General features: G+C 32.0%; 1 long non-coding RNA gene across 1 annotated transcript in view, besides 2 other annotated features; it reads left to right on the top strand.

Moving 5' to 3' along the window:
• LOC105369867 (uncharacterized) overlaps positions 1-14,983 on the top strand; it is a 176,665-nt gene that overhangs the window by 10,907 nt on the left and 150,775 nt on the right. The window lies entirely within an intron of this gene.
• Positions 11,716-12,354: an enhancer, noted in NCBI's record as "OCT4-NANOG hESC enhancer chr12:81077757-81078395 (GRCh37/hg19 assembly coordinates)". NCBI's record gives its function as "activates a minimal SCP1, AML or CMV promoter by ChIP-STARR-seq in primed H9 embryonic stem cells {active_cell/tissue: H9 hESC(primed)}" and the evidence as "EXISTENCE:reporter gene assay evidence [ECO:0000049][PMID:30033119]".
• Positions 11,888-12,182: an enhancer, noted in NCBI's record as "tiled region #776; K562 Activating non-DNase unmatched - State 24:Quies". NCBI's record gives its function as "activates a minimal TATA promoter and a strong SV40 promoter by Sharpr-MPRA in K562 cells {active_cell/tissue: K562}" and the evidence as "EXISTENCE:reporter gene assay evidence [ECO:0000049][PMID:27701403]".

Below are 14,983 nucleotides of genomic sequence, written 5' to 3'. Positions count from 1 at the left end.
TCTTTACAAAGCTGTTGATTTGTAGTAATAAAAATATTTTAGTTTACCTTAAAATAATTTTGTAAAACACTTTTTAGTCCAGTACATCTTCATTTTTAAAAAATGGTATCTTAAGTGTTACATACTGGGTAGCTCATTTCTGAGAGGCCTGTGAAATGATCACATTAGCCTATATAGTGCGATTGACATAATCAGGACTCAAGATTTATTAAGTAATAATCCTATGATCAATTGTAACCCTGGGGGAACTTGTTAAAATTTGGATTCCCAAGATCCACTGCAGCCCAACCGAACCAGAGTATTTCTGTAAATGCTAGTAGGGATTCTGATGAGATTAAATGTGTCCAGCCTAATGGTTCTTAAACCTGGCTGCACAATAGAATAACCTGGGAAATGGAAAATGATTAAAATGTGCAGCCACTACTGAGAACTTTTGGCCTAGCACAATGCCCAACACCTATTTTATGTTCAATGATTGACAGATACAGTTAAGTTAGATAAAAGAAAAGCTAGCAAGTGATTAAAAACCCTTCTCTCATTCTAATATATGTCATGAAAAGAAGATTAATGAAATTTCCTATCTAAAATTATTTTTATTTCAACTGGGAATGAATCTTGGCTTTTAGTAAGCATAAATTTACCTTCAAATACACAGTTAAATGATTTTACATTAGTAGAAATAAGTATCATTTAAATTATATATCACTTTGGCCACTGTATGTAATACAACTTCTTTTCTTCCTTAAAGTTCTACTTTAAAACATGGGTTCTAGAATACAATGTCAAGAAGAAATAAAACTGTATCAAGGATTCAATTACTGTAAAATCCAAATTCTCATATGATGATAGAGGTGATAAATACCACCAGTATGTATTGAGTACTGTTAGCCAGTTATTATTTAAAGTTCTTCAGATGTATTGACTTTTTGTTCACAATATCCCTAAGAGAGTTAATATCAGCCCCAGATCTTCATATTGTGCATTTAAAGTGAAAACAAACATACAGAAAAGAAATGCTAGGATAAATCACTTAGCCTCACATATTGTTTTATAAATAATTCTTTATTGGAATTAAATTTGCATAAACATCTCTCAAATTGTAATTTTATTTGCTTTAGAACATAAGGACCTTTTCTTGGTGTATAACCAGCTACCTTGATATACTATGAGAACTTAAGTACAAAGTATTCTATATCACTATAATGTCTACTGCTAGATTATGTGGCATATTGTTTAAAAATCAAGTAATAAGTTCCTGTTTGGTAGAGTTAGATTGTAGTCAGTATGCATACAGTTCATTAAAGTAAGTATGTAACATATTTCTTTATAGTTTCCCATGACAAATGAAATATTATTTCAAAAAAAATTTAAGGAAATTGAAAAAAATAAGACTAATATAACATGTTTTTAAAAATAGTAATTCATTGTCTTAGAAAAGACTTCATAATCATGAAAAACTCAGCAAAACAAGCCTTTTCTTTCAACTGAGTTAATTTAGCCAATTTTTGAATGGACTCACTTATTTAATAGTTTCTTATAAATTTCATTTAATTCAAGCCCAGGCCTTAAAAGCAAAATGGTCATAATTCTAACCAATGCCATAAATCCCCCAATTATGTCACTAGGTATCTTCATGAAATCTTACATTTCTTTTAGTGACCATGACCAGAAAAAAAAGGATTGGAAACATCACTCCAAATTGTTAATAAGAGTTACCCTTAGGTACTAGAGTTTAACGTGATATAATTTCATTTTACTTTTTAGATTTTTCTGTCATTTGTACAAATTGTATAATAATTTTATATTTTGTAATGAGAAAATAAATATTTGAGACAATAAAATAAAATCAGTAATTTAGGCACAAGTAGAAGAAGTGCATCTGGTGAATAAGACCAAATCTTAGTTTCTAGGACTGGGAAACAAGGCATGCACTACATTTACAGAAAGATTTTCTTGATGTTGATCTAAGAGTACTGAAGGAATATAATATTTTCCTAGATAAGGACTAAGTTCTTTCCAGAGTGAGGCTGAGCTTTCTGGTTAGATTGAGTTGCTTCTAAAATATAGAGACGAGGATGTTGGAGCAGGAAACCAGGTAGCTTGCTCCCAAAAATAAGCTTCAATTGCCTGGGAAATTCCATTATACAAATAAGGTCTGTTAAAAGATAAACTGAGACACTATACAAATTTTAGAGTTTATTTGGGCAAACAGTGGTACATACATTTGGGAAACACCAAATTGAAGGACGTCTTGAGCTCTACTAAAGAAATCCAAGTGGAAGGCTTTTATAGCATGACTGGGAAGCAAGAAATTGAAAATATTTGAGTGGTTACACTTATATAGTTGCTCTATTTGGTCTGTTCCATTGCTGGCAGCTTCTGATTTGTTGAACTTGTTTTCTTTTTAATGATTCTGGCATTTACAATAAATGGCCCAACTTGTTTTGCTTATGTTTGCAGTCCAAGCAAGATTAAGGTTACTTTCAAGGCTAGCTGGGTTTGTCTGCTTAGAAATTTTTCAAACCTGGTTTTCATTTTATTTTATTTTATTTTATTTTATTTTAACAAGTCCTTCCTAATTATAACAGATTATATTATAGGCTGCTTTTATTAAATTTGTTGTACCAGGAAGTAAGGCTACTCAAAGTAGTCTATTGACCTAAACTTTAGGTTTAGTTTCTTGATACACATCTTTGAATTCTGATAAATTGTGGAGAAAATGTAAATATCTAAAATTGGGGTTGGAGGATTCACTGGACATTAATTACCCTGAGAAGGGGGAAATTATTTATGGACTTTAAAGAGAAACAAGGCCTTGGGACATACTAAGATTTATTTTCTCCGTAATCCATTTTGGTTACTGGTGATGAGGTTATATCTTACACGACTCCATTATTTTCCTTACCTACAATCATTTAGTTCCCTACTATCATTTACTTAATAACTTTTGTTTTTTCCACTGGTGGGTGATATTTCCTTACTATTAAAATCTTTTAACACAGACTGTGTTAGAAAAACCTGTGTGTTTCATTGAGGCCTTGGTTGCTTTCATTGAGATAAAGTATGTTATCTCAACAATATACTTTTAACTTGTTTAGATAATAAACCATTTTAATACATGAAAGGGCAGTTCTTTTTTCATCATTTTTATTTTCTGAATTTTGAAACCCATTTCTCATTTATTCTTCCAGATGAACTTAACTTTTTTTTTTTCAAATTTGGAACAATTAAATGTTATGAAGACTTTTAAATTGGCATACTAAACCTATGAAGTAATTGGAGAATAATGATGTTCTTTATAATAGGCCTCTCTTACTTAAAAAAATCATATTTTGCATTTCCCTATGTTATAGTATTCTTTAGAAATGCACTATAAGTTTAGCCTCTCAATATTTTATTATAGTTTGGACATTGTCAGTGAACTAATTTTTCCTATTTTATCTTTCACTCATGTTAATTGACTACTTATGATTTTTATATATTTATTTTGCAGTCACCTGCATTAGAGAATTTCTTATTACGTATATATCTTTTTCAGTCTATTTATCTGTATTTTCTAGGTATGCAATATTTTTGTACCAAATAATGGGAATTTTGACTTATGTTATTTTTGTTTACTTTATTACTGCTTTGGTTAGATTAGTGGTAATACATTTTTGGTACCTGATTTTGATGATTCCCTGCCTCTAAAATGTCTTTAGTACCCTAAATTACTTAAAACATTGAAAAATTCATTCATGTACTCACTGAGTTACCATTTATTTAGTACTCTTAGGCACTGTAAACGATATTTATATATATGTGTGTGTGTGTGTGTGTGTATATATATATCTCTATATATTCATATGCAGGATATGAGGGGCCATTGAAACCCATCTGGGTCTCTACTTTGCATATCACCCTGAGGAAGTGAGCCACCACTGAGTCTAGCTGGCGAGTAGAATCTTGCTCCCTGCTGACCTGCTTCCCTGCCACTTGGACCTGCCTAGTGCCAGTTCCTGGATTCTCTTTAGCCTTGCTTCACCTGCCTGTTATGATATGCTACCTCTTGCTAGTCTACTCTCATGTGTCCTAGCTGGGTTCACCATCTGTTGCTCATTACTGTACTCTCTGGACCTGCTGTCTGCCTCCATGCATGTGCACATTGGCAACTGAATCCAGATCTGCCTCTGCATCTCTACCACCTGCTTCAGCCCTGTGGGATATCTTGTTCCAGCTTTCTTCTGAAACTGCCTTACCCTACCTTTTCAGTCTAATAAGTTTTGATGAGATCTTTTAAATAATATGTCAAACCCATTTCTGTCTCCTTAAACAGTAAACATAATGTAATTGAAAGAGAAAAAAAATGTTTTCTTAAAGATGCAGAGGCTGGTGTTGTAATATTTTTTTTTTATCCAGTGGCTATTGAAATATGTTGGATTTCAATAAATGGTCCCAAATTTTTAGGTTTTGAAGATATATGTGTTGTTAATAAGGAAGTGTGTGTGTGTGTGTTTGTGCACAAAATAAGTATATAAGCCATCAATTTTGCTGTTTCTGGATTGCCATGACCTGGAAAACCAAGTTTGTTGAAGTATTTATAATGTAAGAAAAAAAGACTGTTGATGAACTACTTTTTAATAAGTTGCTCAATTATACAGAATTCTTTTTTGTTGGCTTCAGTTGTTTAAAGGATTTTTACACACTATCAAGTTCCTGGTTACATTGTGGATAACTGATAATCCTGAGCAAATGATACATTAATCACTGTATGCCAGTTTTCCCTGCTCTTTCACCTTCATTTATCTTTGATCTACAAGTGTTTGTTTGTTCCCTGACTGCAAAGATATTTTAGCATGCGTGAATTGGTAGGAAAATACACTGTCACACAGACATTATTTTACTTCTGCTAAGGCAAACTGTCAATTGAACATTTTGTTTAAGTTTCTGTCATGAGTAAGATGTTATTTAAGTGTTACGTGGATAAAATTATGAGAATAACTTGGTCTTTGTTCACAACCAGTTGACAATCTAGTAAATGGAGAATGCCAGTGGATAAGAACCTGCAAAAACGCCTTCAGAATTCAGTTCTAAGAAAGGTCTTAGTTATTGAGGGAAATGTAGGAGCCAAAGCATGGTATTTGGGAACATGTAGGATGTGTTTTAGTAAGCAGCAAATATTCTAATTTGGTTTAGTTCTAGAAAAAAGAATACTGTGGGAAGATATTTTTAAAAAGTGAGTTTAATTTAATAGTCAATGAAGGGCTACTGAATAGATCAGTGAAATGATCAGAGCTGAGATTTAGACTTAAATCTCAGCGTTTCAGAGCTTTAGATTTAAATCTGGCAAGTGTAGAGTTGGAGCAAACAAACCATACAATTTGGTTTGGACCAAATGTATATTGGATGAGATAGTGAATAAGAGAAAGAGTATAGTACTAGACACCCAAATACAAAGGCTGGCACTATCACTGACTATATGACATGAATAACTTAATTTGCATAAAATAGCTATTACAGATACTATCCATAAGCTTCTGTTCTTGAAAGAGGGCATAGAGTTTATGTGTATGTACTACGTCCAAGTAGATATTATCATATATCTAGTGGTCTCCATGTAACATAACAGGATATGGTGGCAAACACTACAGGCTCTGAAGCCAGACTTCCTGTGTTCAAGTCTAGGCTCTTTCATTTACTTAATGTATAATCTAGGGCAGTTTATTTAACCTCTTTTTGCTTTGGTTTCCCTATCTGTAAAAGGCAGATAATAGCACCTAGTGCTATTATCCGAGAATTGTCATGAGGTTAATGAATTAATATTTGTAAAGCCCTTAGAAGAGTGCCCGGCACATGGTAATGATTCAATAAAGAAGATTATTATTAATTACAGTAAATAAAATTATTACAATTTTAAATGTATCACAATTATTCATATCACAATTTTAAGTATAATCTTTAACACGTAAGTAGGTAAAACTTCTGATTTAATAGCCCAGGGAGTCAGTACTAATCCTGTTACTATTTACCAACTTTGTGAATGTAGTACACTCAGATTGATGAAACCAACTCTGTGTTCCAGTGTCAGAGTCCAGCAAGTGAATTCATCATATTTTTCAAGGCAGTTCATGGGGTTATAAATACTAAGTGAATAGGAGCATAATTAATTCTTTGGGAAGAACTTGGAGCATATCAAGTTTTAATGTTTAAAATGTTTAAAAGACTGATTGTTAGTGCTTTGGGAATGGAGTAAGCATATAACAGAAGTAAGTAAATATTTTTCTCAGTGTTGTACTCATTCAACCAGGAGAGCTTGAATTATTATTATTGTGAAAATAATCCATAAACACTTTATGTCATTTATTTTAATAAATCATTAAAATTTAAAATTACCTGTTTTTTTAATTATAAAATTCATCAAACAAAAAACTATAAAGCATAATACAATAAATATTTTACTCATTACTTAATTTTAGCAAATCTGACAATGTTGACAGATAGGCTTCAAATTTTAAAACAAAAATTTACAAATGCATTGGAAGCCCTTGTGTATCCCAATCTGATTCCATCACAATCTATCTCCATACCTGCATTGCTCCCTTGCCAGGGGAAACCATGATTCTGATGTGAATTTTTACATTCCCATTCATTCCCTTGATTTTATGTCTGTACTAAGATGGATGCATCCACAAAAAATGTACTACCTGTTGTATTTTTTAAACATTATATGAATGGCATACAAATGTCTCAAAACTATTTTTTCATTATTTTTCTGTTTAGTAAATTGTATTGGTTTATAGTATACATAAAATAATACAATCATTGTATGTATACAACTTAAGGGATTTTACACATGAATATGCCTGTGTAAACAGCACTCCATTCAAGATAGAGAACACTTTCATCATTCCCAAAATGTTCCCTTTGGTCGACTAAATTCAGTTCCCCACTTACACCATACCCCAAGTAGTCATCATTTATTCAATTTCTATCACTATGGATTAGTTTGAACTATTCCAGAACTTCATAGAATGGATTCTTACAGTAGGTACTCTTTTGTGTCTGTCTTCTTTCACTCAGCGTATGTTTTTGAGAATTCTCCCTGCTCTTGTGTGTATTAGTAGTTTATTCCTATTTTATTGCCAATTTGTATTTCATTGCTCAAATAGACCACAACTTGTTTATCCACTCCTGTTGATTGTCATTTGGACCCTATATTTTTGTCCGTTATGAATAAAGCTGCTAAGAACATTAATACAACTTCTTTTCTGAAAGTATATTTTAATTTCTCTTAGATACATGACTAGGAGTGGTAATGTTGGGTAGTATGGTAATAATGGTAGTATGTTTAACTTTACGAGAAACTGCCAAACTGTTTTCCAAGTGGATTGTACCATTTTATACTTCCAGTTCCAGCTGCTCCAAATCCTTACCAAGATGACTTGATATTTTGATAATTTTAATTTTAATCATCCCATTGGGTGTGTGATGGTATCTCATGATTTTAATTTGCATTTCCTTGATAACTAATGGTATTGAACATCTTTTGTATTGGTGCTAAATATCATTTGACATACTGGCTATCTGTGTGTGTGTGTGTGTTATACTTTGTAAATATACATATATTCTGGATATAAGTACCAGGACTTGTATCCTATTACATGTATTGTGAATATTTTCTGCTATTCTTCCAGCCTGTGGCTTGACTTTCCATCTCATTTATTTATTTGCTTATTTATTTATTTAGAGATAGAGTCTCACTCAGTTGTTCAGGCTGGAGTGCAATGGCATGATCATAATTCACTGCAGCCTTGACCTCCTGGGTTCAAGAAGCAATCCTCCCACCTCAACCTCCCCAGTAGCTGGGATCACAGGCATGTGCCATCACACCTAGCTGATTTCTAAATTTTTTGTAGAGATGGGGTTTCCCTGTGTTGCCCACGCTGGTCTCAAATTCCTGGGCTCAATTGACCCTCTCACCTTGGCTTCCCAAAGTGCTGAGATTATAGGCATGAGAGACCATACCTGGCCTTATTTTCTTTTTTATTTTTATTTTATTTTATTTTATTTTCTTAACAGTGTCTTTTGAAGAGCAAGAAATTATACTTTGATGAAGGATAATTTATCAAGTTTTTCCTCGATGTTTTATTTTTGGTTTGTATACTAAGAAATCTTTGCTTATTGAAAGTTCATGAAGAATTTTTCTTACTTTTATCCCCATAAGCTAAATAGTTTTAGCCTTTACATTTAGGTCTCAGATCCATTTCAATTTAATCTTTGTGGGTATTTGTATAAAGGTGATGATTCGTGATTTTTCGTATAGACATCTAGTTGTTCCAATACTGTTTTTGGAAAGACTATATGTTCCCTGTTGAATTATTTTATCATCTTTGTTGAAAACCAATTTACCATCTGTGTGCAAGTTTATTTTTGGACCTTTTTTTCTGTAAATGAATCTATAGATCTATAGTGTAAATCTTTCAATTTTGTTCTATTTTAAAGTGTTTAGTCACTTTAGGTCTTTTGCACCATATAAACTATAAAACTAGTTCATCAATTTCTTTAAAAAAGTCCTATGGAATTTTTATTGAGATTTCACCAAATCTGTAAATCAATATGAAGAGAATTAACATCTTAACAATATTGAGTTTTGAGTTTATGAAAATGAATTTTGGAGAAATTTATTTTAATCTTAATTCCCATCATTAATGTTTAGTGGCTTTTAAGTATATCGATCTTGCACAGATTTTGTTAAATGTATCCTAAACTTTTCATGTTTGTGGATGCTTTTTTACAAATTTAATTTAATTTAATTTTAAGTTCTGGGATACCTGTGAGGACTTGCAGGTTTGTTACATAGGTAAGTGTGTGCTATGGTGGTTTGCTGCACCTACCAACCCATCACCTAGGTATTAAGCCCCTCATGCATTAGCTATTTATCCTGATGCTCTCCCTTCCCCCTGGATGCTATTGTTAATGGTATTTTTAACTGCAATATTCCAGTTGTTCATTACTAGTATGTAGAAGTAGATTTTTGTATCTTGACTTTATATCCTTTGACTCTTTTTTTAAAGCTACTTGTTATATCTAGTAGCTTTTTTGGTAGATTTCTTAAGATTTTTCTCATACATGATATATTTTTCTCTACTCACATAAGCAGTTTTATTTCTTCCTTTACACAATATATTCCATTCATTTCTTTTTCTTGCCTTATCATAAAGGCTAGAAACACCAGTAGAATGTTGAATACAAGTTGTGAGAGCAGGCATCCTTGACTTTTTCTTGATATTAGGGTGAAAGCCTTCAATATTTCACCATTGAGCATAATATTAGCTCCAGCTTTTTTCGTAATTGCTTTTGGTCAGTTTGAGGAAGTGCTTTCAGCACTTTGAATGTGTCATTCTATTTTCAGTTGGTTTGCACTGTTTCTGAATAGTAGCCAGAATATTTTCTTTTCTGTCATCCCCAGAACAGGTATCTCTCTTCTTGGTTGCCTTTAAAATTGTTATCTTTATCAGTGACTTGCCTTGATTATGCAAGCAATTGATCATGATATGCCTTGGTATAGGGGTGTGTGTGTGTGTGTGTGTGTATGTGTGTGTGCTTATGCAGAAATTATTGTAGCTACAAAAGTGAGAGTAATGATAGTGTGTATGCATGCGTGTGCACTTATCTGCCTAGATTTCTTTGAGATTCTTGAATCTATAGATTCATATTTTTCAAATAGAAATATTTGGACATTATTTCAAGTATTTTTTCTGCCCTCCTCCACCCCTAGTTCTGTAATTTGATTACACTTATGATAAACAATGTGAATTGATCTCCCAGGTCACTGAGAATCTTTATTGTGTTTTCAGGCCTGTTTTCTCTCTATGCTTCAGTTTTAGATCATTTCTATTCCTGTTCTTTAAGTTTGCTGATTTGTTTCTTCTCCAGTGTCTAATTTGCTCTTAATTGCATCCAGTAGCATTCTGATTTCAGCTATTATGGGTTTTAGCTTTAGAAGTTTATTTTAATTGTTTGTAGTTTCCAGTAATATTTATATTTGTTTCCCCTGTTAACATATTTTAATAGCTATATTAAAAGTTCTTGTCTGCTAATTATATCCATTTTTATTTATATGTGTGTTTCTAATAATGGATCCTTCTCCTGGTTATGGGTTGCTTTTTTCTGCCTAGTAATTTTTAACTGAATATCGGGTATTGTGAATGTTACATTATTAAATGTATTTACTTGGTTTAATTTTATAAGGGCTGGGATTTTTCTTTTTCTGTAATGTAGTTTAATTTGATGTTTCAAAACTTTTTAAAAAACGTTTTGTTGGGAGAGTCTAGTTTACTGCAGCTTCTTTAGGGTTTCTGTTGAAATCCCAGGTGTTGTTCTCTACTCAAATTTCATTTAAGAATTTTCTGAAGTTTTGAATTTAGAAATTGATTCAATCAATTTAGAAATTGTTTTATAATATAGTTTTATAATATAGTCTTGAACCCTACTAATGTGGTCTATTTCTCCACTTAAAGGGGTGTTTTGGTTTGTCCGTCAATTCCATATTTTCTCCAAAAGTGTTTCATGCACATAAATATCCTCTCTGCCTGCCAGTGAATAGCTCACACATAATTTGGTCACAAATGAGATCTCATTATGTCATTAGATTTTCTCTATTGTACTTTTTCCAGCTTCTCAAGTAAATGCTTACTATGTTTATATTTGAGGATATATATTTTAGGCCTCTAACCTTACCTTTATGTAACTTTATCAAAATTTTATAAAAGGTGCTTTGATATCATTCAATTCTGTTATATAGTTTTCATTGAGATTCTTCATATTAATCTGTGTGATATTTAGATATGTATTAATTTAGTTTCAAATATAGATTAAAAATTATTTTTTTGTAAATGTTTTACTTAACTGTCTTGTAGTCAGATAAATGGCTATGTATGATACTGAGTCTGAAATTATTTTCAACTTTCTTTGTGACACAGGAAGCAGTCATTCTTTGTGACTGATCCATGAGAACGTCAAAAGAATACGTGTTCTTTTTTTAGGGTATAAGAATTTCTCTCCCTAGAGAAATATTAATTCATATGTGTAGATTTTCTAATTCATTTATTTTATTTTCATATCATTAATTTATCTTCCTGATCTAAAACTTCTATTATTTTACAGGTATGTCTAGTTTGTAATAAATACATTAAATTTCTTTGGTATATTTCAGTATTTTGAGGTTATATTTATCATCTATTGAATCATTTATTTTTACTTAAAACTGTAATTATCTTTTTTTTAACCAAGAGATATATGGGTTTGAAATGAAGATATAAAAAAATTTAAAAGTGCTGTACTTCTTTTAAAAATATTATTTTTGCTTGGAAAAACTTTATTTGAATATTATAAAGATTAAAATTTAGAAAAATGCGGTTTATATAACAAGGAATTAGGTTGGAAATGCCTCAAAGTCAATAATCATATTTACTTTGTTTTCCTTTTTTAAAGTTAAAAGAAAAATACTGAATGTGAAATTCCACTAAAAACCAAGGAAGAATTCCCTCTATTCCCACTAGGCTAATTTGAAACTAATCATTATGATTATAATTCTGTATTCTGTATATTTTTCAAGTGGCTGTGTGAATCAATAGGTCATATTTTTGGCATATTTGAATTCTTACAGAAAAAAACATCATAACTGCTATCAATATTGACACAGGAGCTAGAAAGAAATTATTTAGGCAAATAGGGAAGGTAAAAGAGTCCTTGGCAAGATTTCCCTTCTAATAAAAAGCAGCCCCCAAATTATTTCTTTTCTAACAAGGAGCAGCCTGAAAAAATCGAGCTGCAGACATAGATAAGCAAGCTGGAAGCATTTGTTCCAATAGATAAAGGCTACCTGGGGGCCAGGTATGTTGAACATGGAGGGTCTATCTTCCCTTTTCTTTGTCACCACATGTACAGTAAAAGAAGCAGGCAACATGACGCCAGCCAGGTAGAAAACTCATCTGCATAATAAAAGATTAGAGTATGGGTGGCCAGATTTTCATGTACTATGCAAATAGCACACCTGGTCCGACCAATCTTTTGTGCCCTATGTAAATCAAACACCGCCTCCTCAAGCTCATCTCTAAAACCTCCTGCACTTCACCGCGGAAGTGGCAACCTATTTTCTCTGGGGCCCCTCTCTGTAGCAACAGAGCTTTTCTCTTTCTTTCGCCTATTAAACTTCTGCTCTTAACCTCACTCTGGTGTGTCAGCGTCCTTAATTTCCTTGGTGTGAGACAAGGGACCTTGGGTATTACCTCAGACAAATGACGCCGCTTCATTATCATTATGTATATTACAATCTAAACCTCACTGAGTGTTCACTCTGAACTAAGACTGCTCTACAAACATGTGAGGTAGCTATTATAATTATCTCCATATTAGGAATGAGGAAATTGAGGTACAAACTGGTTATTGCTTTTTGCCCCCAAATCACAAAATTAGTAAATACAGATGGATACCCATCCAATCTGGCCACAGATTTTAAAAATACTTATTTATATAAATTTAATTATAGCAGATGAATTAATAAGAGAAAGAATGAAAAAGAATGAACAAGAGAAAGACTAATTAATCTGAAAGTTCACCCAAGTAGGCTGTTTTCACATGTCCAAATTCCCTACAGTCCACATACATGTTAAAAAGTTTTGAAATGGAAGTGAGCGCAAAATAGGATTTAAAAAACTGTCTTCTTGAGGCCTGTTTATTCCCAGACTTCTGCGTGCTTCCTTTCAACATAAAATAAGGGTGATACATACCTGTGAAAGGAACTTGAACTCTAGCCACATAGACTTGGATTTGAATTCCAGACTACCAATTACTCTCTGTGAGAATCTGGGCAATCTTCCTCATACCTCCATGCTTCCATTTCCTACCCTTTTAATGGAGTTGACCTCATAGGTGTGGTTTAAATTAGATAACATGCCAACTCTTGTTATGATTCCAGCACAGTGCCAGGCACACCTTTAAGATTCAAATATTCAATTACAGAATCTTTCTTATGTTTTTCTTTCTTTTATATCTTCTAGTTCTCCTTTTTGTCCTCTTCCTTCTCTCCTTTTCTTACTCTTCCCCCTTCTTTTGATTATTAGTAGGGTAAAGGACTTGATAGTATTTGATTATATATACATACAATACATACACACATACACACACACACACACACACATATATATATATATGTATAGAAATGCTATGGAGCTTTTTTGACTTTAACAACCTCTTCTCTTTTTTTAGCTTTACTTTCATAATTCTTTAAATTCCAGTGTTCTTTTTTCTTTCATTTTTAATATTTTAATATTTTTTACTTTCTAAACTTTTCTTCTTTAATATTACTGTATTCATCAAGAATTATTTTTACTCTCTTAAATTCATTCTAAGAGCTTATTTACCTCTAGAATTGTCTGTGGTTTTTGTTACTTATTTTCATATGATTAGCAGAAAATCTCTAACTGGCTAATAGGGAATTAGGACATGTGATGATTATGACCTTTCTTTATCACGAGCATTTTACACTATTCAAAGCATGTCATTTGACTTATGGAGAGACTGGCATAACGTTATGGAAAGAGTACTTTTCGGGAGCCATAGAAACTCAGTTTTAACTTCAGCTTCAACTTTTACTAATGTGGTTTCAGGCACAGCAATTAAGCTTTCATTATCTTTCCCGTAATACAGGACCCTGCCGATCTTAAAGGATTTTGTAAGGATTAATAAGGTTGATGGATTTAAAAGTACTCTAAAAAGTTTATAATTTACTAAAATGACTTCCCAATCCAATAAAACTTTTAGTGAAATTAAAATAATTTAAGGTGGTGACTTTAGAAACATAATCTTGTTAACAGAAAATAATGCTTTTTTTTTTTTTACCTTCTATTAAATGAGTTTTATTTTCAGAGGACAATATCACAGATACTGACTTAGAATGTCCAGGTAATCTTCTGAAATGAAAATTTTCTTGACTTGTTTCCCAAATTATATCTTATATTATTTGTGTACCTGTCTACACATTCATTTTAATCAAAAATTCATTGAACAAGCACTAAATATTTTACTTAGTAAAGTATCAATAGTCTTACTTACCAGAAGTCAATATATCTGCCATAATTTTCTCTTCAGTCTGTGCATGCGAAATGGACATACAAATATGACACTAATACCCACAAAGTACAATACAATCTTAAAATGGGATGCATTATCTTTTTGATAAACATTACACATTGACCAGTCTTAGTAAAAGATTATCCTAACTTTGTAAAGTTCACTGTAATTTTCAAAACATTTTCCTATATGTAATCTAATCTGTTCCTCAGAACATCTCCATGAGCTGGTGGGTGTATTATCCCGATTCTACGTGGAAACTCTATCCATATTTATAAAGTCATTTACCACGAAATATTACTTGTCCTAAGAAGACAAGCTGTTTCACCAAGATTATGCTTTATACACTTTTTTCATATTTTCACTTTTAAATATAATTCAGTTGAGAATTTCAAATCATTGTGTCCTAAGTTTCTTAAAATATTTCACTGAGTTTTCTAAAAGTTAGCTAATGAAAATGGACATGATCATCAGAATAACAGCTTCAATTTATAGAATACTTTGCTGAACTTAAATTTTTATTTTAAAAGCTAGTGTTTGGTACAATATGTGGAATGAATCACCATCTCCTTTATGAAGAGGTCAACGTTTAATTAGTTTTTCTGCAAAAGACTTATTATACATTTCACCTATAAACTGAAAGAAGAAAATGAGGCATTTTAAAGCAGAATGAAAGTAGAGGTGATACCCACAGCTGCTGTTGTCTCTGGCAAAGCATTCTGAGAGGCTCCAGTTTCATTTGGTTCATATGAAACACATGTTGCTCATTTATTGTACATGTGCTTCAACGTATTTTGACAAATCTGATCTAAAAATGTTACAGATGTTCTTCATTATTTTAATTAGCACTTAGTAGCCACCTATAGAACCT

The sequence above is a fragment of the Homo sapiens genome, chromosome 12 (genome assembly GCF_000001405.40).
Source record: "Homo sapiens chromosome 12, GRCh38.p14 Primary Assembly".
Classification (NCBI taxonomy): Eukaryota; Metazoa; Chordata; class Mammalia; order Primates; family Hominidae; genus Homo; species Homo sapiens.
The sequence above is the reverse complement of the archived record's forward strand: the minus strand, read 5'-3'. Positions and strand labels throughout refer to the sequence as shown.